Source organism: Homo sapiens, chromosome 2 (genome assembly GCF_000001405.40).
Source record: "Homo sapiens chromosome 2, GRCh38.p14 Primary Assembly".
Taxonomy (NCBI): Eukaryota; Metazoa; Chordata; class Mammalia; order Primates; family Hominidae; genus Homo; species Homo sapiens.
Genome location: NC_000002.12, coordinates 7,302,269 through 7,330,118, shown reverse-complemented (window position 1 = coordinate 7,330,118; position 27,850 = coordinate 7,302,269). Strand labels below are relative to the sequence as shown.

Below are 27,850 nucleotides of genomic sequence, written 5' to 3'. Positions count from 1 at the left end.
GTCCCTCCCACAACAGGTGGGAACTCTGGGAGATACAATCCAAGTTGAGATTTGGGTGGGGACACAGCCAAATCATATAAACTGGGTTCCTCTATGTTGCCCAGACTGCTTGAACTCCTGGGCTCAAGTGATCTGCCCACTTCAGCCTTCCAAAGTGCTAGGATTACAAACGTGAACCACCCTACCTATCCTAAAACATTTATTATCTCTGACTTCTTACAGAAAAGATTTGCTGACTTCTGCCCTAGGATACTGTCATGGTCTGCATGTTTGAAACTGGGTCACCACTACATCTGGGCTCACCACTACATCTGGAAAAAGGAACATGGAAAAGGCACTCTCATTGGTGCCAGACCTAGAAACAACACATGTCACTTCTGTTCCTTTTAACCAGAAGGAAACTTTAGTCATTGGCAATGCAACACCAAGGGAACCTGTGAAATACAATTGAGTCAACAGTTCCACTCAGGCTATAAGCCTGTATTATGAAAGAAGAGGAAGGTGCTTTGCTGGATGGTCAGCAGTCTTTCCCACATTCAATAGAAAAGAAGCTAGTGTGTTTCTACTTTAGCGCACAAACACTGTCTTTTTGGACAGCTAAATTATATCAATCCAGTTGTCCCTTTTGATTTAATGTCTGTATTTATTTTAAAGAAAAATGTATCCATATATTTCTGCATCATTTATACCTCCCATCAAAATGTGGTTTTCCACAGCTATTGGGTATTCAAAATTTCTGGTAGAAAATGAGTAGAAAATTTGGTTGTGTAATATGAAACTGGGAAGTATATGTGGCATCTTAGCTCAGCAGGTCAGCATGTACCTGCCTAATCCCCCAAAGAAAGGGTTCATGCAAATACTGAATAGAGCAATTGCAAAGGAGACCTTCTTCTGCCCTCATCTGAGAAATCAGATTAGATAAGTCCATTGTCAGGTAATAACAGTAGAAAAAGAGACACAGTGGATACGCAGTGTCCCTAACATTGTATAAAAGATCCCAGTTTATAGAACGCTTCCGAATTCATGATCTCATTTGGATAGCATTAGACACTGTAAGGGAACTAACTCTGTTGTTCAGAGCAATGTCCCCTATCCTATTGGTACTTCCTGTTCCATTGACAAACTCTGTCCTATTAGTATTTACTGTTCTGCTGGTTATTTCCTGTTCTCTTGGCATCTCCTGTCCTGTTAGCATTTCCTGTTTTATAACAGTGGCATCACCTGTCCTGTTAGTATTGTCTGTCCTATTAGCCATCCCTGCTCTATTTTCTGTTCTGTTAACATCCCCTGTCCTATTAGTATTTCCTGTCCTATTAGTATTTTCTGTCCTGTTGACATCACCTCTCCTGTTAGTACTTTCAGTCCTATTAGCATCCCCTGTTCTATTAGTATTTTCTATTCTTTTAACATCCCCTGTCCTCTTAGTATTTTCTGTCCTATTGGCATCATCTGTCCTATTAGTATTAGAATGTCCTGTTGACATTCTCTGTCCTGTTAGTATTTCTTCTTCTATTGGCATCCTCTGTGTATTTTTCTGTTGTTGCATTGCTATAAATAAATACCCAAGACTGGGCAATTTATAAAGAAAAGAGGTTTAATTTGCTCATGGTGTGCAGGCTGTACAGGAAGCATAGCAGCATTTGCTTCCAAGGAGGCTTCAGGAAGCTTACAATCATGGTGGAAGGTGAACAGGGAAAAGGCACATCACATAGTGAAAGCAGGAGCAAGAGAGCCAGGGGGAGGTGCCATGCACTTTTAAATGGCCAGGTCTCAGGAGAACTCACTCAGTATCATGAGGACAGTACCTAGGGGGATGGTGTAAACCACTCATGAGAAATCTGCCCCCAGGACCCAATCACCTCCCACCACACCCCACCTCCAACACCGGGGGTTATATTTCAATATGAGACCCTGTCCTATTGATATCTTCTGTTCTGTGGGTATTCTCTGTCCTATTCGTATTTTCTGTTCCATTGGCATCCCCTGTTCTATTAATATTTCCTGTTTTCTATTAGCATCCCCCAGCTCCTTATTTCCTACTATGGAAGTTCAAGAATCCACAGCTCAGCCAGTCACTAGCTCTTAGCAATTTCAATACTGAGAAGGGGACAAACAGAAAGCAATCTTTGGACTTCAAGCCTCTTGATTTAGCAGTGCAGCGGTCAGCATATCTTTGTCCACTTTCTGTTCCTAGTCTTTGAAAACTCCCTGGATTCTTGTCTTTCTTCCAAGCCTGGTCCTCCAGCCACACACTGAAACTGTGATCCCACTAATGCATTTCCAACAAATTCTCTTTTCATTGAGCCATTATCATACATTAGTGTTGTTTGTAACTAAGAACCTGAATTGAAACAAGCTGATTTTATCACCCCCATTATGGATAAAGAAACTGAGATTCAGAAATATTCTTGTTCACTGTCACACTAGTACTAGTAAGCTAGTCTTCTAGTAAGCTATAGAACTGACCAGAATCCATGTTTTTCCTGCTTACTGTCTTCTAGTAAGCTGTAAAACTGACCAGAATCTTTGGTTTTCCTTCTGTATCCAGTGAAGTTTTACCCTTTCATGAGTAATTATGTAAACTCTCCTGTCTCCTGCAAAGCTAAAGGAAAATTTCTAGCATAGCATGAGACCCACTTTATTTGAGAAGGCCCAGTTTTAGTGCCTTCTCTTTTCTGAGGTCTCTGCCAAAATAGGCCACAGCTAGTGGCTCCCTGATGTATGTTTCCATAACAATTTCTCCCATATATATTTTTTTCATATATAACATTATATATATATAAATATATAAAAAACATACTTTGCCCTATATATTTATCATAGAAATCACATACATCTTAATGGGATATGCAATTTTTAATATAGCTCATTGAAATATAAACTTCTCTGGAGGAGACGCACTCATTTCTTACTATCCTGTCTTCTATATCATGGGCACTCAGTTGTGTTTGTTGTGTAAATAAGTGAGTAAATGAGCAAAAGCATGTGGAAGAATAAACTGTCAGAAATCTCAAGAAGATTTTCTGAAGCATTAGGGTTTTAGAAAAGCAGAATCAAGCATAACCTTACTCACAACCTAGCATCAGCCTCTCATCAAGAGCCAGAAATTCCACTGCAGCATCCATAACTGGAAGAAGCTAATGCCATGTCCGTGGGAGTCTAAGGCTTTGTCAGCAGCTGTTCTGCTCAGAGGTTATAGAAGAAGAAATGTGAAACCTGTGAAGGAGTTGTCTCAACCCTCTCTTACAGCTAAAGATGTTATGAGGCCTAACTACCCAGAATTTTTTCTTCTGTGAGTCTCCTAGGGGGTTCTGATCTGTGGGACACTTTCTGAGACTGAACTCATCTCTAGAAGGCCTTATTAATATGAAAATCTCTTCCTTGGCAGGATCATCAATGCATCCATGCAGGCATGGCAGCCTTGGGTCATCAAATAAAGGCTGAGGAGCTGCAGGAGAGAGCAAGATGCACTGCTGTGTAAATGAGGCTGATCCACAAAGGCAACAACAGGGATCGAGAGCGATGGGCAGGAGGGATGGGGATGAAGACAAGCATAAGGAAGAGCAGAGCTGTGAGGGAGGGACACAGACAGGGTGGGGCACATAGAAAATAGCACAAGAGATGCTGCAGATGATGAGATGCTGGAGGGTTTTGCCTAGGAGAGATATGACAGGTTTCCCTGGCTTTTCTGAAATAGTCCACAGAGGTCTGTGTCCTAGAAATTAACTCAAAAATGAACTCTTCTCAGGTGCCAAGCTGGATCCATGGGGGGAGAATTTTTTTTTCAGGGTAGTCAATTCAGAGTCCACATGGGAGACAAAAAAATCTTTACAAGCTTGTGTGAGATAATAAAACACATAGAATATTAACTTACTTCAGCAGCACAGCTGTTCAGGAAAGGCTATAAGTATCATCAGCTAGTCATGAAGTCATGAGTGTCCATTCTTACCTCCTGTACTCTGCTGAGTTTCTTTATATATTCTTTATATATATATTGTTATACATGGTGGTTTGGCTAGCAGGAGATTGCACTCACACTCTGGATTAGGCAGGCTTTCAGTAGACAATCTAAGAATCTATCAGCCATCTACGAAGGCACTCTGTGTAGAAACAGTTTTGACGTCCCAGGTTACAGCTGAGTTTTGAACATTTAAACATTTTGAGAAGTGTGTCTGTTCCTATTTGTGTGTTTGTGTAATTACATGAGTTCCTTTCACCAAATTTTATCTGTGAAACCAGCAAGACCATCAGGTTGGAGCCCAAGTAGTAACCAGGTTACTGAAGCTAAAAGATGCTCATATAATTCCTCTGCTTGTGTTTCATGAAGGCAGAGGAAGAAAACAATCCCTCACTCCTCCTTAGGGCCCTCAGTGCTGTGGACAGCTGGAGGCATGATTGATCAGCAAGTTTTCAACACAGCAGGAGATACATGGAAGAACTATGAGATATCTGAGAAGCTCTAAAGACCAGAAGCAATTTGGCTATTCATAACCCTTTGGAGAAACAAAATGTGTGTCACTTGCCCCAGTGAAAAAGAACAAACCATGAGGATTTTAGGACTTTTCGGGGTGAGCTAGAGATGTTGGCTTCAAAGACCAGGAAGTGCATTCAGATCTTCACACTCTCTAGGGTAGAATCAATTGTGTGTATTGCTGCTGAGATTGCCAAGTGGCGCTAAGCACAGCACTGCAGGTGAACCTGATAAATCCTGTTAAGTTCTCAATGCAGCTACTGCCCACTTGTTATGCGGGGTGATTTTTCATGGGCTGGAGATATATATCAGGATGCAAGGTGCTCAATTTGGGCCAGCTGTGTTCATAACCAGACAGCACTGTGATGAATGCTCCCAGAAGGAAACCAAAGAAGCTACTGTGATGGAGGACAGAGAACACGAAGCACTGTGCAGAAAATATAGGAAAAGGGAGGCTTAACCCAAGGGCCCTCACTTAGTAACTGGTGAGTTTCGCCAAGGTTACGCTCTGTGATTCTTCTGGTGAATGCGCCACTGAAGTACACGGTCCCTTAAGAAAGTGCATGAGGTTCCCGCACATGCCCACCTGCCGCCGCCCTCAACGCCTTCTGGCAATGTCCCCTGGCCTTCCAGCAGCATGGCGACGTCTTCACAGTACCGCCAGCTGCTCAGTGACTACGGGTCACCGTCCCTAGGCTACACCCAGGGAACTGGGAACAGCCAGGTGCCCCAGAGCAAATACGCGGAGCTGCTGGCATCATCGAAGAGCTGGGGAGGGAGATCAGAACCACGTACGCGGGGAGCGAGAGCTCCATGGAGAGGATGCAGCGCGGCGTGATTCACGCTGGAGGACTGGTGCGGGAGTGCTTAGCAGAAACGCAACGGAATGCCAGATCCTAGCTGCCTTGTTGGTTTTGAAGGATTTCCATCTTTTTACAAGATAAGAAGTCACAGTTAATCTCCCCCATTCAGATGAAACCCTTGTTTTCAAAATGGTTACAGTTTGGTTTTTCCTCCCGTGGTTCACGTGGCTCTGAAGCTACCGTCTCAAAGATTGAGAAAAGATTTTGCAGTTAATTAGGATTTGCATTTCAAATAGGAACTGCTCAGGTTTCTGTTTGTTTGTTTGTTGTTTTTAAGCACTGACTTAAAAGATGCACCTAAAGTTATCTTACAGCAAACTGTAGTTTGCCTCCAAGACACCATTGTCTCTTTAATCTTCTCTTTTGAATATATTTGTTACACACGGTGTTCTTTGTTCCTTTTCATAAGCTTATACCACTCCAGGGATTTTGTTTTTAAGGCATACTGACAGCATGCTTTACTTAGTAGCCGGTTCCCATTTCCCATTTGCCATCTACAGTGTAGATTCTGCTTAAAGTAACTTCTTTTTTGCTTATGCATTTGCATGACTATTAGTGCTTCAAAGTCAATTTTTTTTAAATGCACAAGTTATAAATATAGAAGAAAGAGCAACCCACTAAACCTAACAAGGACCCCCGAACATTTTCATACTAAGACTGTAAGTACATCTTAGCTCCGCGTTTAAGTTGGTCAAAACATCTGGAAGAAAATGACTAAAACTGTTTGCATCTTTGTATCTATTTATTACTTGATGTAATAAAGCTTATTTTCCTTAATAAAAGGAAGTGCATGAGGTCTGTCTTGCTTTTGTGGCTCTGAGAGGGGATCTTAAGGAAACTTACTGTTCTCTATTTCTCTTTGTTTCTCCAGATTCTTGCACAGGAGTGGAAAAACTATGACCCATCGCCAGTTTTTGTATGGACTGCGAGCTAAAGGTTCTTACATTTTTAAATAGCAAAATCAAAAGATTGATATTTATTGTGTATGACATTATATAAAATTCAAACTTTAGTGTCCTTGAGTAAAGTTTTATTGTTCAACTTGGCACTATTGACACTTTGGGTTGCATGATTCTTTCCTGTGGGGAGGGAAGGTTCTGTGCATTGACCTTTAGCCGCATCCTTGGCCTCTACCCAGTAGGGGCCAGCAGCACCCCTTCTCCATTCCTGACAATCAAAGTCTTCTGCATATCTTGCCAAAAGTGTCCGGGAAGGCAAAATCACTCCCTGGTGAGAACCGCCTTTTTGTTAAAACACAACCATGTTTGTTCATTTCACTGTTGTCTATCTGCTTTTCTGCAAAAGCAGCAGAGTTTACAAGTTGTAACAGAGACTGTCTGCCTCTTCAAGACTAAAATATTTACTCTCTGACTCTTTACAGATAATGTTTCCCGACTCCTGGTCTAGCACATAGAAGGAACTCAGTGTTTGAAAAAGGAAGAAGGGAGGGGAGGTAGAGAATCATAGAGTAGGTTGCTCTCTGGGGAAAAATGAGTTGTTGTTGTTTTTCTGACACAAAGACCAATGCACAGACGTCAGGCGGCAGGCCAGCCTTTTCCTGAGAACACCATGAGCACAAGTTTATTTCTAAAGCTCTAAAGCGATGCGTCTGAGTCCCTAAGATGAGCTTCTTCTACTTAAACGCCAAAAAGCGACCATTCATCATAGAAATTATAGGTCAACTAAAAACAATAAAATGGGAGAACACATAAGGACTGACTCTTGTAAGCAACTCCGGATCTTTTTTAATAGATTAGCAACATGTTGGTTCATCAAATTCCAAGTTAACAGATGAAAAATGTTGTGAAATTCATGGAAGAGAAGGGCGTTGATATTCATTGGCCATTCAGCATGTACCAGGCATTCAGGGAGAATCCATACATATATGAAACCAGAGAGCTCATTGAGAATGGGATTACTTCCTCATTTTGGCACGAGGAAATGTGGATCATAAACATGAAGGAACTGTCCAAGGCCTTATGGAGGCAGGAGCAGAGCTGAGGACTCTGATTTAGATCCAGCCAAGATCTTTACTTCTGCGCCGCCATGCTGCATCTACTGAATTATATGCTGTAAAACTGGATTAGCCACATCCGCAAAGGTGGGAAATCTGTCTCTGGGGTGAGTTGATATATCTAGAAATTCTGAGCATCAAGGGAACAGAGTCAGAGTCAGGTTAAGTCCTTTTGCCACAGTGCAAAGCTCCTGCAGAGCAGCCAGGGCCCAGCTCTCCCAGGTTCCTGGGAGCATGAACTGACACCTCCCGTTGTTACCCGGCCTGCCTAAGAGTTCAGTAAAGTGTTGGAGTTTCCATACGGCATGCTGAGCTGCTCTAGAAAGGCACTCTCAGACAATCTGAGGAAGGAAATGGACTGAAAAGTCATGTCTGTAGAAGCAGCAGTAAAAAGAGAGATTTATCACTTGTTCTGATAAATTGACAGTGAAATTAAAAAGCTTAATTATTTCAGCATGAATTTTGAGAGGCTTCTTTTCCCACTGAACATATGAAAAAGTTTCAAAGCATTTTGCAGCAATAAAACATCTGTGACCCAATTTACATAAAACAGAATAAAACTGAGAGTTGTTCTGGTAGCAAAGAGCACCAAGGCAGTGTGAACCCTTGTTTCATCTTGCATCAATAAACGGACCCTTGTGCATACAGTAGGCAGTAAAAAATGTCCTTATAAATCTCGAGTGTCTGGGGAGATGGGGAGGGAGGTTCTGTAGGACCCAAAACACTGAGAAGAATGTTTAAAGGTATGTGGCAGATCAAAGTCCGATGGAAGATGTGTACTGAGAGTTCACTAATGGAAAGATAATGGCCTCCAAGAGGCTGGTGGGAAGATAAAACAGAATGAATAAATTTTAAGGACAAAAACACACTTGAAAAAAATATGGCACAAATACATTCTCTGAAAGTGTTGAATTATAATAATTCCAAGAAGTTTATTTCATTCCATTTTGTATGTTGCTAATGGAGAAAGGTGAGAAGTAGAGTCTAAAGCATTTTGTGTTTTTTTTAGAAAGGTCTTGGCTATGCCTGGAGCTTTAATCACAATGGACTGGGCAGTGCTTTAAAAAAAAAGTATCTTTTGAGGAAAACTGAGATCTGATCCGATATACTCAATTCATATTCACGATTCTTGAGGGATTTGAAGTAGATTATTTTAAACTGATATAAAACTTGACAAAAATCTGTTCTAAAGGATGTATAGAATATTGACATATGGTAATTTACTAATTAGAGAAAAATAGGCAACACTTATTTCTGTAAGATGTGAAACTTAAATTGTGTAAAGAATTAGCTAGATTAAATCAAGGGTGAAAATTCTTGGACTTTGTCTTTCTCGTTCTTTCAATTTGAAAGTCCTATTCTCTGATAGATTTTTTGGCAAATCCATGGTCTTAATAAACAGAAGATGAGTTTAAAAACATAATTGGTTATAGACACATTTTAAATTACATTTTTTTACCTCAAAAATTAACTCACCAAACACTAAAGCAGTGGTTCTCAAAGAGAGGCAGCATTTCTTGGCTGGAAGAATTGTGAGGAATAAGGTCTTATGGACTTTTCAAAATACAGCACAACAACCTGCCACCACTTACCCTTAAGCCAGGAAAAAGATTCAAATATACATCTTCAAAGTGACGTTAAATGCCAGCAACCCACGTCCAATTCTTATTAGAAACCAGGGCCTTGTGGAAGTCAGTGTGGCGATTCCTCAGGGATCTAGAACTAGAAATACCATTTGACCCAGCCATCCCATTACTGGGTATATACCCAAAGGACTATAAATCATGCTGCTATAAAGACACATGCACACGTATGTTTATTGTGGCACTATTCACAATAGCAAAGACTTGGAACCAACCCAAATGTCCAACAATGATAGACTGGATTAAGAAAATGTGGCACATATACACCATGGAATACTATGCAGCCGTAAAAAATGATGAGTTCATGTCCTTTGTAGGGACATGGATGAAACTGGAAATCATCATTCTCAGTAAACTATCGCAAGGACAAAAAACCAAACACCGCATGTTCTCACTCATAGGTGGGAATTGAACAATGAGAACACGTGGACACAGGAAGGGGAACATCACACTCTGGGGACTGTCGTGGGATGGGGGGAGGGGGGAGGGATAGCATTAGGAGATATACCTAATGCTAAATGACGAGTTAATGGGTGCAGCACACCAGCATGGCACATGTATACATATGTAACTAACCTGCACATTGTGCACATGTACCCTAAAACTTAAAGTATAATAATAATAATAATAAAAGAAAATTAAAAAAAAAGAAACCAGGGCCTTGATGACTCGCTGTTATTGGTGAGAATAAGTTATTTTCCTCAAGCAGGTTTGGAACATGACTGTTAGCTCATTTGACACTATCTGTGTGAAGGACTGGATCCCACTTTCAGCTCAAGTGAATGGTAAAGAACAGAGCTTCGCCTTTGGCTGGAATTTGCCCCAGAGGTGCCACAGGAATGATCTTAAACCCACTGCCATTTAAAACCTTCACAAAGCTGGGCAGGAAGAAGTGATATTAATGGGAGGGCTTGAAGAATAAGTGGTCAGTCTCATTTTGCCTCTGGAGAAAATTTGCTGCCAGCATGGAGATCTCGGTAGTTGACATGGTGAGTGGAATGGAAGTGTTCTGGAATAGGATGCAGATTAGTGAACACTGGGCCAACAGGTGGTGCACAGCAGCTGACGGTGTCAGGGGAACTCTCCAGCCAGGGGTTGCCTTGTGAAAATGAAAGTCTAGTGTTGCCAGGGTCTCACTTCACAAGGATGACTGACAACCTGGATTTTTGTGTGAACTCACCTGTTTTTTATATAATGACAACTAAATTTTTTTTTAAAAACCAGACATGGTGGGAACCAATACCATAGAGTAAATAAGCCTTATGTGTGTGTCAAATTGCCAGTTTGTGATCTCTGCCCCAAGTACTCTGAAATCTGTCACAGTTTAAAGCCAGACATGAGGAGTCACTTGCCTGAGTGACATCACATTTGCCTCCATGTCATTGTCCTATAGTTTGCTTTTCTGATTCACTGTTTTTGTTTTTGTTTTTGATACAATGAATAATTGAAGGATATGATTAAAGTTACCCTGTGAAACTCATCTCAGCATTTATTGTGAGGGTATTATGAATGATGCCCATTATGTGATACAATAAGCTCTCAGCAGAAAAATGTCTTCTTCAGTTTAATTATCAGATGTAACTGTGCTTTTAAGGGGAAAATACTTTGTTTTTATGCTTTACTGGTTCTGTGACTTATACAGACCTTCCTTGTATCTTGTCATTGAATGCTGGAAAACAAAGCTGGATTTGTGTGTTTACACTTCGGAATTGTTTCTGCTGTTACTCACTTTTCTTTCAATATACCTCACGTGCTAACTCCTTTTTCTTTGGTTTATCTACCTCCTTCTAAGGTATAAGTTGTTTGTTATGTAGGACCAAGAGTAGAGGAGTTATTACGTGTCCTGGTTCTACACAGAGGACCTATGATTGAATAAACTCAGAGGACTTGTGACTGGATAGACTCAAGCTAAAAACTGAGGGAGAGGGAGGTAGAAGGGATGGCATGGGGGAACAAGAGCACTGAGAAAGAGAAAGAAACACCCCTCCCCCCACCACACACACAGATCCTAATAGGAATTCAAGATCAAGATGGTTCTACAAATCAAAATTCTGAAATCCACATGTAAAACTAATACTGAGAAAAACACCCCCAAATTCAATATTTAATGTGAATTTACTTCAGATGAACTAAAATTAAGGAAGAAACTAGAATATAAATGGCATGATTGTATTTACAATGTTTATGAGCTAAGGTAAAGAATAATATTTATAAAAATAAGAAAATATATTAATAAAGAAGATAAGACATTTAAAAATGAATTATTTAAAACATAGGAAAAGTCCTCAACAAATAGAATAAACTTCAGATTGGATGCATTTGAAGATATGATATGTAAATCTGAAGGCTGAGGAATTGATCCAACATGAGGCATGGAAAATACAAAGATACAAAAATATAAACTTCATTTAAGACAGAAGACATATTTAGGAGATTTGTACAGGAAAGAGTTCAGGAAAAACTAGTAAAAAATAATTTTAAAGGTAAGTTAAAATATTTCATGAATGCTCCGATTAAAGACACAACTAGTCCTTAGCAGGATAAACATAAATAAGTACATATCTGGACACACTATATTAAAATTCTATAAAATTAAGAATAAAGACACAATCTTCAAAGTGTCAGAGAGAAAAAAACACACTTCTTCAAAACAAAAAGGAAAAGAAAATTGTACTGACACCAGACTTCGTGACAAGATCAATACATTCTAGAACATAATAATATAATATATTTTGACGGCTGAGCTTACTACATAATGAAAGTAAACCTAGAATTCTATATTCAGATAAATCATCATTCAAAGATACGTGAAAAGACAACCTTTCTCAGAGGTACAAAATTTGCCCCCCAATACTGATCCTCTCTGAAAGAAACATTCAAGTACATACCAAAGCAAAAAAACAAACACAAAAAAATGAGAAGGGGGAAAAGTATGACCCCTAAAATAACACAGAAACTGGTAAACATGTTGACAAATTTGGTTATATACTGATTGTAATTAATAGTAAGTTATAAAAAGATCGAACAAATCTTTTAACAATTAAGGGAGATGACAATGTTGATGATGAAGATAATTGGTGACTATCAGCAGAAGTCCTTATATGATTGGCATGAGAATATAAATAACAAGTAACTTGATCTTGTTAGAAAAAAGTATAATAGGCATTTAATTAAATGTTCAGATATAATTACTGCAATAATAGAAATATTATATAAAGCTTCTAAGAAGTGGGGATGAGGTATGCATGAAGGGATTTTGTGTATGTATACATAATATATATTCACATATATATATATATAAAATATATATTCACCCAAAGGAGTACAGAAAGAATATAAAGTAAAAAACAATAAAAATTGCATGCACACCAAAGAATTACAAAAGAATATGGTGGAAGAAAACCTAGCTATACCAATTAGAGAACTTTTTTAAATCAACTATGTAGAGCTCACCAGAGATGGGTAAAATAAAACATATGGAAAGATTGAAAATAAAGTATAAAAATGTTTCTCCAGAAAACCAATAAGCCAAAAAAAAATTGTGGAAGTGATTATATTGATATTGAAGAAAACAGAATTTGAGGCAGAAAGTATTGATAGATATTAGGAAAGATACAATTAGATCATAAAAGATTAATCAATATGATTTTTAAAATCATGAATTTTGGTAACCTAATAACATAATGTTACAAAGAATAAAATTCAATTCGCATTTTGTATTCTGACCAAAGTGAACATGATTATTCACATGATTTGCTTTTCTGAGGTAAATATTGGTGGTCTCCAAAAATTAGAGGAAGGTGAGTACTGCAAGCTTCCTTCCTGGCAAACTTTCCACCAGGTGGGACATTGCAATGAAAAATAGTCTCAACCAAATTCTTCCAGCTGTTCCGTCATTATTAATAAGAAGGTACGAGCTGAGGGCGGTGGCTCATGCCTGTAATCCCAGCACCTTGGGAGGCCAAGGCACGTGGATCACCTGAGGTCAAGAGTTCGAGATCAGCCTGGCCAACATGGTGAAACCCCATCTCTACTAAAAATACAAAAATTAGTGGGATGTGGTAGCAAGTGCCTGTAATCCCAGCTACTTGGGAGGCTGAGGCAGGAGAATCACTTGAAGCCAGGAGGCGGAGGTTGCAGGGAGCCGAGATCATGACATTGCACTACTCCAGACTGGGCGACAAGAGCGAAATTCTGTCAAAAAAAAAAAAATTACCAAATCATAAAATCCGCCCTGTAAACTTTCTGTTCTTTAAATGCACTGACAGTATCTTGCAGATGAAGTTTACAGGAAACGGAAGCAGCATACTTAATGGCAGAATTCAGTCAACCTAGTGGAGCCAGGTGATCAAACTCATCTATAAGTGGGAAGATGCAGGGACACTCTGATAAGGTGTAATTCTTAAGAATATGGACTTGCCAGATTCATATACCAAAAAAGTACCCTCATGCAAGTGTGGAAGGGCCTGTATAATTCCAGGCCAATCTACACACCTTGAACCCAATTCAATCCACTTAGAGTAACAGCTTTGATGTTGGCTTTTTTTTTTAAAGGACATAATTTATTTTTAGAGCAGTTTTAGGTTCACGGAAAAAGTTAGCATTAAACGCAGAGTTCCCACATACTCCATGCTCCCACTCCTCCACACCCATACATCCTCCCCAACTATTGATATCTCTCACCATGGTGGTATATTTGTTACAATCAATGAACCTGCCTTGACATATCATTATCACCCAAAATCCACAGCTATGCACTCTCTGGGCTCTGACAAATGTATAATGACACATCTCCACTATTCTAGTATCATACAGAAGAGTGTCATTGCCCCAAAATTCTTCTGTGTTCTGCCTTTTCATCCCTCCCTCTCCTGTAACCCCTGACTAATGTTTTCATCGTCTTCATAGTCCTTTCTTTTCCAGAATGTCATGTAGTTGGAAAAGATAGTAGGTACCATTTTCAGACTCACTTCTTGCATTTACCATATGTATTTAAGGTTCCACCAGGTCTTTCTACGGCTTGATAGCCCATGTCATTTAAGTGCCAAATAATATTTCATTTTCTGGGTATACCACAATTTATTTATAAATTCTCCTACTGAAGGACATCTTGGTTGCTTTCAAGTTTTAACAATTATGAATAGAGCTGATATAAATATCCACATGCAGGTTTGTGACGGGAACTAAGTTTTTACATCAATAGAGTAAAGTCAAAGGAGCAAAATTGGCTGATTATACAGTAAGAATATGTTTAGTTTTATAAGAAACTGCCAAACTGCCTTTTAAAGTTGCTGTGCCATTTTTGCTTTCTCATGATGTTGACTTTTGATTAGAACAGTTCAAATACAAAGTAAATATCCTTGGGTTATATAATCACAATTAAGATATTTTTATATAAACATGCTACTAATACATGGATTAAAATGTAACTCTAAATACATATTTCCATGTCATATAAATTTTTTATGCTGCAATCCTCTAAAGAAAATTATATGACTGAATTTTAAGGATAAATGGGATAAATATAAATCACAGAAAAATATTTTAGTAATCTTTTCTCAGATGTGTCAGCTTGATAGCTCAAGCTGGGAAAATAAATAACAAGAACAAAAGCATTTGAACAGTATAATTAATAAATGTGATCTAACATTTATTAATAACAGTATATTATGCATATAAGTGGATATTTATTAATTAACATTTAACGTTTATTTATTAATAATGTAATTAATAAACATTTAATAAACATTTATTAATAACATCATATTATGCATATAAGTGGAGGTACATACCCTCAAACTACAGAATATGTATTTTACTCAAGGCTATATAAAATATTTGTAAGTGCACATATTAGAAAGAAAATCTCAACATAGTTTAAAAATATATATAATTAAAGCCCTCTGACCACATGCTTTTAAATTAGAAGAAAAAAAATATATAATATATGTTTTTGTGAGTAACCTTTCCTTTACTGATGCAAAGAGATATTTGAGAAGAAATTACCCCGCACCCAGTTTTATGATATAGTTAGATGACCTTGACAAGTTTTTTGGATCTATGTCTAAACAAATTTACAGGCAAGACCCAATATTCTAAGAAGAGCATCAAAGAAATTTGGAAAGTTCTGTTACACTGATGATATTTTTGAATCAATGAACTAAGCATCTGTATTTCTGTTCTACCTCCAAATTCCTTGGCATGTGAGATGATAAATGTCCATATTGTCCCATACATTTTTATTAAAGTGTTTTTACTTGCAGCAAAATCAACCTCACTTACACAGCTATTATCTACTACATTTCTTTTTCTTCCTTTCCTAGTCAATATTGAATCTAACACTGGGTTTCACTGACACATGGGACTAGTAGAAGAGATTGCACCTAAACAAAAATTTACTTTTAGAGAAAAACATAATCTAAGCAACTCCTTTCTGAAACACAGAAAACTAAAATTATGCAAAGAATTGATGTGTTTGATTTAGACAGAAAATTGCCAATTCTTTTCAATTTACAATCACTTTATATTTCAAAACATGTAAGACATTTGTATATCTTCATTTTTTAGGGTAATCATCTGTGGCAATGGTACTGAAGAAAATCCTTTGTTTTTGTATATTCAAAAATGTGTCTCATTTTCAAACAATGTGATGCATGCTTGTATTTGGATCATCTAATTGAATTTCTACAGCAACCCCACATAGTTGGAAATATCCCCATTTTAATAATGAGAAACTGAAGTTGAAAGAAGTTAATTAGGAGAACCTGACAAAGCATTATATGAGAACTTGCCAAAATAGTAATAACAACAGTGGCATCAGCAGCAGCAACAACAACAATATCTTCAGCCTGCACTTCTTGGTTTCTGGATATGGAAACAAAAGACACCCTGAAGCACCATTAATCTTTTCTCAGTAAAATAAGTAGAGGTCATGGCTGTGGTTATACTGTAACACGAAAAATAACATTAGTTCAAATATTGCATCTTGGTCTAATAAAAAAATTGACTGAAAAATTGTTTACTTTGAGTGTCATGTTGAACCCAGTGTCAGACAGTCAAATCGACTTTATTTCACTTGAGATTTTTTGTCTCTTTTACTTATATTTGACTTTTCTCTTTAAAAAAACTATTGGAGAGTCACAAATATCTTTTCCCAAAAAGTAAAGTATTACATATTGCACTCAGAACAGCAACAGATGGATTCTTTTCTAAAGAAAAAGAAGACCATGACACCAATGTGGATGACAAGAGAATGTCATACCACTCCTGGGAGGTTGTTCTTGACAATAAATTAAACAACAACACGATATCACAGCACACATATTAGAATGGCTAAAATCCAGAACACTGACAACATTACATGCTGGCAAGGATGTGGAGCAACAGGAACTCTCATTCATTGCTGGTGGGAACACAAGATGGTAAAGCCTCTTTGGAAGACATTTTCACAGTTTCTCATAAAAACTAAACATACTCATACCATACGATCAGCAGTCAGACTCTTTGGTATTTACCCAGAAGAGCTGAACACTTATGTCCACACAAAAACCTGCACACAGAAGTTTATAGTGCCTTTATTCATAATTACCAAAATTTGAGGGGGGAGGGAGAGCTTTAGGAGATATACCTAATGCTAAATGACGAGTTAATGGTTGCAGCACACGAGCATGGCACATGTATACATATGTAACTAACCTGCACATTGTGCACATGTACCCTAAAACTTAAAGTATAATAATAATAAAATAAAAAAAGAAATAATAATAATAATAATCATAAACATAAAAAAATTTTTGAAAGAAACCAAGATTTCTTTCAGTAGGTGAATGGATAAATAAACTCTGGTATAACCAGACAACAAAATATTGTTTAGTGCTAAAAGTAAATGAGATAGAAGCCACGAAAAGACAGGAAGGGAACTTAAATGCATATTACTAAGGTTAAAAAGCCAATATGAAAAGAGCATATAGTGTGATTCCAACTGTGCCACACCCTGGAAAAGGATGGCTATGGAGACAGTGAAAGATCGGTAATTGCAGATGTTGTATGGCAGGTGAGAGTAGAGGGATGAATAGGTGAATAACCAGAGCACAGGAAATTTTAAGGCAATTAAACCATTTTGTATGATACTGTAATTATAACAGGTGTCATTTATACATTTGTGAAAACCCACAGAATGTGCATCACCACAAGCCCCCATGTAAACTATGAACTTTGGGTGATAAGGATGTGTCAATGTAGGTTAATCAATTATAAAAAGTGTACCGCTATGGTGTGGGATGTTGACAGTAGGGGAGGTAGTGTGTGCCTATGAAGACAGGGGTTATATCTTTAAAAAATAAAGTTTAGTAATTAAAAGAAAAAAGTAAACATCAGATGATCAGGACAGACCAGATATCCAAGACCAACCCATATGTTAAGGAGAAACAGAATCATGCAGTTAATATCCATTCACTGGGCCTCCAATTTGTACCTATGCAAGATATTTGCATATTCTCTTATCCACAATTTGACAAAGCTATTTTTGCAAAATCATCTTTATACGCAGCTGTGTTACCTTATATTCTTTTTACTTTTATTTTAAAGGTTTATTTTAATGAATTGTGCCCATTTGAAGTCACTGATTTTTTTTGCCCGTGCTGATTCATTGTTTGCTTCAACAACCTTGCTTAACACCACAAAACTGTGATTTTAAAACTTTTCCTTATTTTAATTAGTCTTTATCATTTCTGTGTGCTCCTAGTTCAAGCTTCATGAATCAGTCCTGTTAGAACATTCATTGACCGCCTCTATACTTTGAAGAGCTTTGGAAAGGTGATGGTAATTTGCATTACTAACAGCCTATATTTGAATTGAGCTAAAACTTGAGTTGGTTTGTGAACAGCCTTCTACTCTGCTTTAGGCAGGGCCCATCTGACCATTTTGAGCTCAGCTCCCTGTCTGCTAATATACAGGCTTTCACATATCAATGACAACATAGAGGAATGAACAACCTCTCAATTTCTGCTGACTGAACAGTGCGTCATGGCCACAAATCCAGCAACTGCAGCACTATGCATTGTGTTGGAGTTTGCCGTCCTTTATTTACAGACGAATCAGTTTGGGAATATTATTCTTTTCTGGAAATGTGGTGGAGAAAGAGAAACACAACGTAGATTATTTATATACACAATGGATGCTTTGGGGTTAGAATGAGAATCTTGAATAGCGTAGTGGAGATACAACTATGAAGAATAATTTCAATTTACTCCAAGCCTTAGGGGTTTATTTTTGTAAGTTATAAGAACTGCAAAGATCTCACATGGACCACTCACCAAGGCTTGGCAATTTACACTTGGGATACTTGCAAATATATTTTTATATCTGGTCGAATAAGTTTTTTTAAAAAAAAATATGTTTGGCTAAGAAAGATTAATGAGACACAGACACATCTGATGGCTACAGCAAATCTGACAGCCATGATAAAAATTTTGCAGAATGGAAACCACAAAGGAGAAGGCTGGTGTCATAGACAAAGAGTGGGTTTGGCAAACTTTGCGGGGTGTAACATGAAAGTAGAAACACAGAGGTGTTTACTCTGAGATCACATGTCTAAGCTTATGTCCAGAAAAGAAAATGCACACTCAAAGACAGAGCCTCTTAATGAGAGGCTCTAAGCCCATAAGATCACAGAGGTAGACAGATTTGGCTTGGGCATTTCTTGGGAAGAAGTGCCCCATCATATCAAAGGGTCTGATGCTGAGCCTTTTCCTAAATATAGCTGATGTCAACAGTCTATTTGTCTTGCACATCAGAATTCTGCATAGCTGCTTATTTATTCTCAGAGATCTATTGATAGAAAGCAATGGACTCAGGGGAAACTAAAACACTGAGTATTGGAAAGTTGAACTGATCAATACTGTCCATATGCTGCCGTGAAAACAGACCAGCCTTTCATGCAGTAATGTTCATAATCTTAAACCTCCTAATATTTTTCTGGCAATTAAGAGTTTCCAAATAAGTTTCTTATTAATTAGGATATTGGACTTTCATTATGATACTACAAGTTAAGGAGGTTTAAACGAGTCGATCTAGGAAATAGTACTCATGGTTTCAAGATTATCTCCTGTGCCCATACCTCAGTCATCAATGGGATTCCAGGCTGCTGGGGTGCTTGTTTTTGTTAGTAACCCTTGAGCCCTTCAAGTGACCTTTCACGCGTGCCTAGCTGTTTCTGGTGTCACCTCTGCTGTGTTGTCAGGTCACTGCATTGCCTAAGTTCATTCAGTTACTGCTATTTCCATACATATCCCTGTTTTATTTTCTCTTGTCTTCTTTAGAATAATCCCATTTCATGACAACTGAGCAGCAACCATAGGAAAATTGGGTATCCCTAGCCAGTACAATGGTGTAATCATAAAGATATCTTAGAGCATACACTGCTTTTGAGTTTTCCAAGCACTCTCCTATTCTACTTCATATTACATTCTCACAGCACCTCAGATTGGTGGATATTATTCTCACCTTGCTGGTGACCATTGTGAGACACAGGGATTAATTGCTCACAAGGGATATTTCATAGTAATGAGATGAGACAGATCTAAGACCAGTGTTAAGAAAGAACTATGTAAAATATCTGAAATTTACTGAGTCTTGTTAGCGTTTGACCTCCTCATATTAAATAAACAGCCTTAAATGTATGTAAAATACTCCGGCAATAACCAGTACCTCACACTATGCATTGTGCAAGATAATGTTGGGTGGACTATACTTCTAGCCCCTAAGAAATCCTGCTGACAGTAGGAGAGGTAAAATATGTTCACAAATAAATGAAAATGCAGTGCAGACAAGATAAACACTTTAACAAAGATGTAGATAGAGTGCTTTGAGGCTTCAGGGGAAAAGTAACTTTTGTTTTACTAGGAAGAATTCTTCACATTATGGAAGACTGGAAATGTGTACCCTTTTTAAAACGTCTTATGTGCAGATAAGAGAGATATAAATTTAACATAACTTGTACATGATGAAAAGACTGAGATTTGGAAAATTAGTGAATTTTGCAGCATCCAAGGTAAATTGAGTCTGAGAAAAGCCATTTGTTTGATGAGAAACCTGGTGGCACATCTTACAATAAAACACACTTTCTTCTCACAGTGAAATGCCATTACGATTCCTGTGAAATGGCATGTTCTCGAGAGGTAATTGCAAATTTCTTTCCCAAGCTGAAATTTAGGAATAACCAAGTAGGCCTTGAAATCAAAAGCACCAGTTGGCTCCATGTCCCTTAGCAAATTTTTTCCAGAAGTAAATAATTGTTACTGGCTGAAATGACATTCGGCTGAAGCAAAACAGGCCTTCCGAGGCCCAGCGGGGTGCTAATGGTCAGATGGTGTGTCCTCGACTTGCTGGGGTGTAGAGAAGTGCATTGAATCTTGCCCATGCTATTTGAAACACTTAGCTTTTCAATAGGGAGTGCTCAGAAGGAGATGAAAATTGCACTGGCATCAGAATGAAAACAAAGAGGAAAAAATGGAAACAAAATTGGTGAGCATCACTCTCAGAAGCTGAGGCTTATTTCTTCTTCATTGTTAAATTTTCGGGAATTTATTTTTGAAAATTTCTATAGTGAAATGCCAAGCTCAGTTAAGAACAATGGTGTGTTTAGTGACTATTAGTCAACAGCAATACTGATAATACATGCGTTTCAAAAGGAGAGGAAAGAGAGAGGAGAGGGAAAAAAAAGGAAAAAAGAAAAAGATTAAAAAAAAAAAAGCACCTACCCAAAGCACAATAATAGAACTAGTACAAAAGTCACTCTCTTCTAATCATCAAAATTGGAGTCAGGAAAATGGTACTGAGTTGTTATGGCACCCCCCACCTACCCCGCCCCCGCCGCACTGATTCATGGCAGACACAGCACAATCTCTCTAGGTTTTTGAGCTGGAAATCCTCAGCCTGGAAGTTTCCATAGAAAGGATCACTTGCTTCCTGGAAATAAGGCAGGGAGATAAGGGAGGTGTCCCTGAACTAAAGTGATGCCCTGCTATTTTCGTCGCTATTCCATGTGGCTCCATCATCCCAGTGTTGCTGCCGATTGTCAATGAGTTGCCAAAAAGGATGTGCTGCTCCCCAGGGATGTGGTTTCTTCCCTTTCCAAGTTTATTTTCAGTGGGAGCCCGCAAAGGTAGAATCACTCCCCAGTGTAGTAGATGATACAATGCAGAAAAATTTACATCTGTGCTACCTTTCAGATACTGAGAGACCTTAAGATGGCAAATGCCTGTTACAAGATGTCAGTCATTCTTGGGTTGAAGATCTTTGTAGGGAAGATACAAAGATTTAAGTATCTATAATGTGCCAGACGCAGAGCTAAGTTTTTTCACAGATGCCTATTGTTCAATATAATTTATCCTTGCAAAAACTGTGGAAGGTGAGGATTAGCCCATTTTGTAAATGAAGAAAATGAGATTTAGAGAGAGTACAGATCCCCATTCATGGACACATAGTTAATAAGTTGTGGGTCTTGTATTTAATCCAGGTCCAAAGCATTTCTTCTGTGTGGAAGTACAGAGTGGAATGAGCTTGGCTGCATTTTCTGTTGTGTCCTCGGTTGCCCACATTCCTAGTTGGTTCTCTGTCTAGACAGTCTGTTGATTTTTTGAGTGACACTGAATTCTTTCAACAAATTCTTTTTCTGTTGCAAGTATCTATTTTTGCTTCAGATTCCTATTCAGCTTACCTGTTGTTTGCACCCAAGAATTCTGACTTATGTGAAGTACAAGGGAGCCATCCAGGAAGGGAGAATACTTCTGTCTGGAGGACGGTGGAGAGAGCCAGGCAAGGTTCATGAAAGAGGACTGGGTCTAAGATGATAAGAAAGTCAGGGTAAGGGGATAAGGGAGTGCCAAAGGCAAAATTACAGGGTAGGCAAGTATGTGATGTTATAACACAGACCTAGTTTCATAATTGTTAAGGCTAGTTCTATTAATTTCCTGTTGTCTTTTTACTTTTATTTCAGTGAGAATTCTGTTAAAATGGGTGACAGTGCTTCCCCATTTCTCTATCTTAATTTCTATGGGGTTGAATTTGTCAGAAGCAATCTTCTGTCTCTTACCTCAGCTCAGAAATGGCTGAATAAAAGGTCATGTGTGCAGCTAAATAAACATAGTGACATTTTTCTGTGCACATATTTTGCTGATGTACCTACAGACCTTTAAAAAATAGAAACTTTTGAAGCAAAAATGATTTAAAATTCTGTTCAAACATGTTGGTGGGAATCTAGCCAGAAGCTAGTAGGATACTAAATAAAGAAATAGCTTTAAAAGAAAGAAAGGGAGAGAGAAGGAGGAGAGAAGAAAACTGTAACCTGCTGCTTTTATTTAAAGAAAGAAATAGATAAAAATGCATGCATTATTTTTGCAAGGAAAAGAACTCTCAGCCACAAAAAGATGAAAGATAGATGATACATAAACAGACAGATAGATGATAGATAGATAGATAGATAGATAGATAGATAGATAGATGGATAGATAGACAGATAGATGATACATAGATAGATAGATAGATAGATAGATAGATAGATAGATAGAATGGAATAGAATAGATAGACAGAGGTGATCTGTTAGGGGAATTGGCTCATGCAATTATAGAGGCTGAGAAGTCTCATGATAAGCAGTCTGCAAGCAGGAGAACCACGGAAGCTGACAGTGTAATTCTGTTCAAGGCCAAGGGCCTGAGAAATTGGAAGGTGACTGGTCTAATTCCAGGAGTCTAAAACTCTGATGTCTGAAGGTAAAAGAAGATAAATGTACCAGCTCCAGAAGAGACAACAGCAAATTCTCCCTTCCTCCTTCTTTGTGTTCTATCTGGGCCTTCAACAGATTAGAGGATACCCATTCACAGTGGTGAAGGCTGACCTTCTTTACCCAGTCCACCAATTCCAATGTTAACCTCTTCCAGAAACATCCTCACACATAACCGAGAATAATGCTTTGCCAGCTATATGGGTAACCCTTACCCCAATCATCTAGATTGACATCTAAAATTAAACATCACAGATGGCTAAACATAAAACACATTCTTAGCCCTCAAGGTAAAGACACTGAATAGACAAAAAGACCTATATTCAACATTTAAGAAAATCATAATTCAAGGGATATCAAATGACCCTAAACAAGAGAACTAGAGAACATTTTATAGAAAATGTGACATTTACTTAAATATTATAGGATGAGGAAGCATTAGATTCAAAAAGAGTGAAACCCAGAAATAAATCCTCACATATATGGTTAAATGACTCTTGACAAGGGTGTGCCATGACCTTTACCTTTGGGGAAAGAACAGTCTTTTCAACAAATGATATTGGCAAAACTGGATATCCACATGCAAACGAATGAAGTTGGACCCTTACCTTACACCATATGCAAAAATGAGCTCAAAAAGGATCAAAGACTTAAACATAAGAATGAAAACTAGAAAAATTTTAGAAGAGAATATAGAAAAAAGCTTCATGATACTGGATTTGGCAATGATTTATTGAATATAATGCCAAAAACATAGGTAACAAAAGAAAAAAATAGATAAATTGGACTTCACGTAAATTAACTTTTGTGCATCAAGGTTCACTATCAACCAAGTGAAAAGGCAACCCAGAGAATGGGGAAAAGAATTCTGAAAAAAACTATATCTGTAAATGGAATTAAAATTCAAAATATACAAAGAACTCCTCAACAACAACAACAAAATATGATTAAAAACAGGGCAAAGGGCAAATGTATTGAATAGATTTTTCTCCAAAAAAGATATACAAATTACCAATAAGCACATGAAAAGATGTTCAATATCACTAAGGATTTAAAAATGCAAATCAAAACCACAATAAGATATTACTTTACATCCATTTGGTGAAGTAGGAAATATACAAAAACAAATAGAAGAGAAAGAAAATAATAAGTGCTAGCAAAAATATGGAGAAATCGGAACCCTTGTTAATTGTTGGTGGGAATGTAAAATGTAAAGTTAGTTTGAAAAACATGTTGGTGATTTCTCAAAAAGTTAAATATTGATTTACCATATGATCTAACAATTCTACTTCTGGGTATATAACCTAAAAAACTTAGAAGCAGGGACTCTTAACAGATATTTGTATATCAATGTTTATAGCAGATTTTTTTCTATTAATCAAAAGGTAAAAATAAACTAAATGTCCACACACTGATACATAGACAAACAAAATGTATAAAGACAATAGAATGTTATCCATCCTTAAAAAGAAAGGAAATTCTGGCACATGCGAGAGCACAGATCAACCTTGAAGACATTAGGTTCAGTGAAATAAGCAGACACAAAAGGACAAATAGTGAGTGATTCCACTCATGTGGTGTACCTAGAGTTGTCAAAATCTCTGAGAAAGAAACCAGAATCATGGTTGCCAGGAGATGGGGGTAAGGGAGGTTGGGAAGCCATTGTTTAATGGGTATAGAGTTTCACTTGGGGAAGATGAAAGAGTTCTGGAGATACATGGTGGTGATGCTTGCAAAACAATGTGAGTATAATCAATGGCACTGAACTGTACACCCTAAAATGATTAAAATGAGAGAGTGAGAGAGAGAAGCAGGGAGACAAGGATTGATTGACTCCAAGTGGGAGGGACACCAAATGGTAAGAGTGTAAGGCGCTTGAGAAACTAACTTGGAGCCATGTTGCAAAATGTTCCTGTGACCCAACAGTTAGAACTTTTCCTATGGACGTCTACCAGAAAACCAACTGAGATTATTAATCAGGGCAGACTCTCAGTCAGTTTTAGGCTTTGAGTAAATTACTTCAAATTAACTGAAAATGGATGAAAAAGCATCACATTAGAGCAAGGCCAGTAATGAGGCACCTGCAGTAACAAAGTCAGGACTGAAGACCCATACAAGGGTGCTGGCACCGGGGGTTGGGAGAGAAGGGACAGATGGAAGATGAGCCTTGAGGAGGTAGAATTGGCAGAGCTCAGTCAACCCATGGTAGTATTTTGAGAATTTCCCAAAGACACTCCCAAGTTTAATCATCTGATTGCCAGTTTCACACACACCAGTTGACATGTGTATCATTATCTTATCATGACTCTCCTGAGAGGGGAACAAAATGCAGGATCAATGTCATAAGCACAGCCCTCTGTGCCACAGAGGTTAAAAACATGGAACAGATTTACAGCAATCTTGATAATCACCGATGCCTAGCTTTCTTCTTGCTCATTACCTCTGGTAAGGACCCATGGGTTGGCCCAGAAAACACCAGTAGTATAACTAGGCCTCTGAGTACACCCCTCTGTGCTGCTTCTAGACAGCCAATGGCTCTGGCTTTGAAATTTTTGTTCACTTGGATTCAGCTTGGGCCAAAGACAATCTGCTTGCAGGCTTTGGGAGGACTCCCAAAACTCAGACCACCTCTCAACTGCTACTCAACCTGTGTCTCTCCTTACAAGACTGGTCACGGTTCCTGCTAGTCTGTACTTATGGCAGAGATGATGTGAGGGCATATGAGATGTGGCTGTAAATCACTGAGGTCATTCCTGATTTGTAGTAAGGAACTAGTCATTTTATTTCCTGTTCTAACTTCTAGCATGATATGACTTCTCTGGTCCTTTCTATGCCAGATTTTCAGGCCACAGTCTCACCTGGTCATCATCCTGATACATTGCAGACCTCAACAAACTGGGCCTTCTGGCTCCTCACAGAGTGCTCCCTGCCAACTTCCTGCTGCTGGTCAGAGAAGTTCTGCCAACCATAAAAAAGAACTATGGATCTGACTCTAGACTGCGTGGCTAGCCATCTTTTCTCATAGCTTGCCCGTCCGAGATAGGATCTATCCCATTTTAACAGCTCAACAAATACTGATGTACCTCTATTCAATTCAACATGCCGTTATGTAGGATCCACCCTGGGCCAGTCATTTTACTGAGCACTGAAGATACAACAATAAATGCAGTAGCTCTAAGTGTCCAGAAGTTTTTATCTAAATGAGGGAACATCAATAAATCAACCAATTTTAAAAATAAAAAATTACTTAACTGCTAAATAGAATACAAAACCACTGCCAGGTCAGCCATAAGTGTGAAATAAATCATTCTTATTAGTGAGGATGTGAAAAGCGTGGATCAAGGAGTTTTTTAATTAATCAGACATACTGAGGCATAATTTGCAATCAATAAAACATATTTTAAGTATACAGTTAAGTAAGTTTCATGGGTGCATACAACAATCACGATCAAGATAGACAATGCTTCCACCACGTCAACAATTTTCCTTGTACTCTTTCCATCAATTCTCACCCAGAACCCACCCATCTCCCAGCACACCACTGACACTGTAGACTGTAGTGAATAAAGCCATTAGGAACATTTGTGTGCATGTCTTTTTGTGGATACGCATTTTCATTTCTTGTGTGTAAATACCTAGGAATGAAACTGTTGCATCATGTAGTAAGTTTCTGATTAACTTTATGAGAAATTGCTGTTAGTTTCCAAAGTGATGCTAATAATTTTATTACCAATTTAATTCAATAGTGAATGACAGATCCATTGGTTCATATAACACTTGGTACTATCAGTCTTATTGACATTTTAGCTATTTATGTGACTATGTAGCTATATTTCATTGTGATTTTAATTTAAATTTCCTTAATGATTCATGATGTCTACCAGTTATTCATGTGTTTATTGATGATTCATACACCTTTTTAGTATATGAATTCGTGCCTGTTTAATATTTTTAATTGGGTTGTTTGTCTCCTTATATTGACTTGTAAGGGTTTTCTATGCTACATATTCTGGATATAAGTCCTTTGTCAAACATGCATTGCTGTTATTTCCTGCCACTATATGGCTTGTCTTTTCATTTTTCTAAGGTGTCTTTTTAAAGGCAGAAATTTTACCTTTTGATGAGATGTGCTTTATCATTTTTTCTCTAATGGGAATTGCTTATTGTGTCTTAGCTATCAAATTTTGCCAAACCCCAGTGATTAAAGTTTTTTTTTATATTTTCTCCAGAAGTATTACAATTTTTACTTTTCCATTTAATGGAGTGATTCATTTTGTTTCAATTTTCTATGTATACCATAGGGTTAGAGGTAAGGATTATTTATTTTCATATGAATATCTCATTTTTCAACTCCATTTATTGAAAAATCTACCCATTATCCATTTAAATCTTTTTCCCCCTTTGTTGAAAATCAATTAGCCACATATAAATGGTTTTATTTATAGACTCTCTTTTTTTGTTCTACTAGTCTATACATCTTTTTAACTTAAAATTGTCTTGATAGTAGTAGCTTTTTAGTAAGTGGTGAATTTAAGTAAAGTCCTCCATTTTGTCCTATCTACAATGAGCTGTTTTGAATTTTCAATACAAATTCTAGAATTTGCTTATCTATTTCCACTACAATCATTTGGGATTTTAATCTCATTTGCATTGAATCAATAGATCATTAAGTGAAAATTGACATTTTAACCATATTGAATTTCCTAATCTATGAGTAAGTGTATTCGTTTGCTAGGGCTTAATATTGATGGAGATAGCAAATATTAATGTGACATGTATGTTCCAGGTGCCATGTTAAGCACTATATACAGGTGTCTGTTGGTTTAAATATACACATCTGAACATAGAAGCATTGTCCTATATGTAACAACTTATATTTACTTATGCATAACATGTAAATAAATTCTCTCTCCTTATACTTATTTTTTTCATTATGTAGAGTCATCATACATTGTCTTCACAATTCACTTGAACCACTGTCATACTAAACACTTGTTATCAGACTCATCTGTAAATATGAAAGAAACAAACAGAGGTACATTCTGCTTATCTGTTCCTTCAGGTCACAGACAGTGAAA

The 27,850-nt window shown here is 37.6% G+C and overlaps 1 long non-coding RNA gene and 1 pseudogene across 1 annotated transcript; both read left to right on the top strand.

Moving 5' to 3' along the window:
• The first annotated feature begins 430 nt into the window (after positions 1-430).
• LOC107985846 (uncharacterized) lies at positions 431-15,646 on the top strand. The gene is made up of 3 exons (XR_007088655.1): positions 431-516; positions 6,206-6,270; positions 15,559-15,646. It is a non-coding gene; the product is annotated as an uncharacterized LOC107985846 (long non-coding RNA).
• On the top strand, positions 5,069-5,371 carry LOC124905951 (cyclin-dependent kinase 2-associated protein 1-like; annotated as a pseudogene).
• Positions 15,647-27,850: the final 12,204 nt, after the last annotated feature.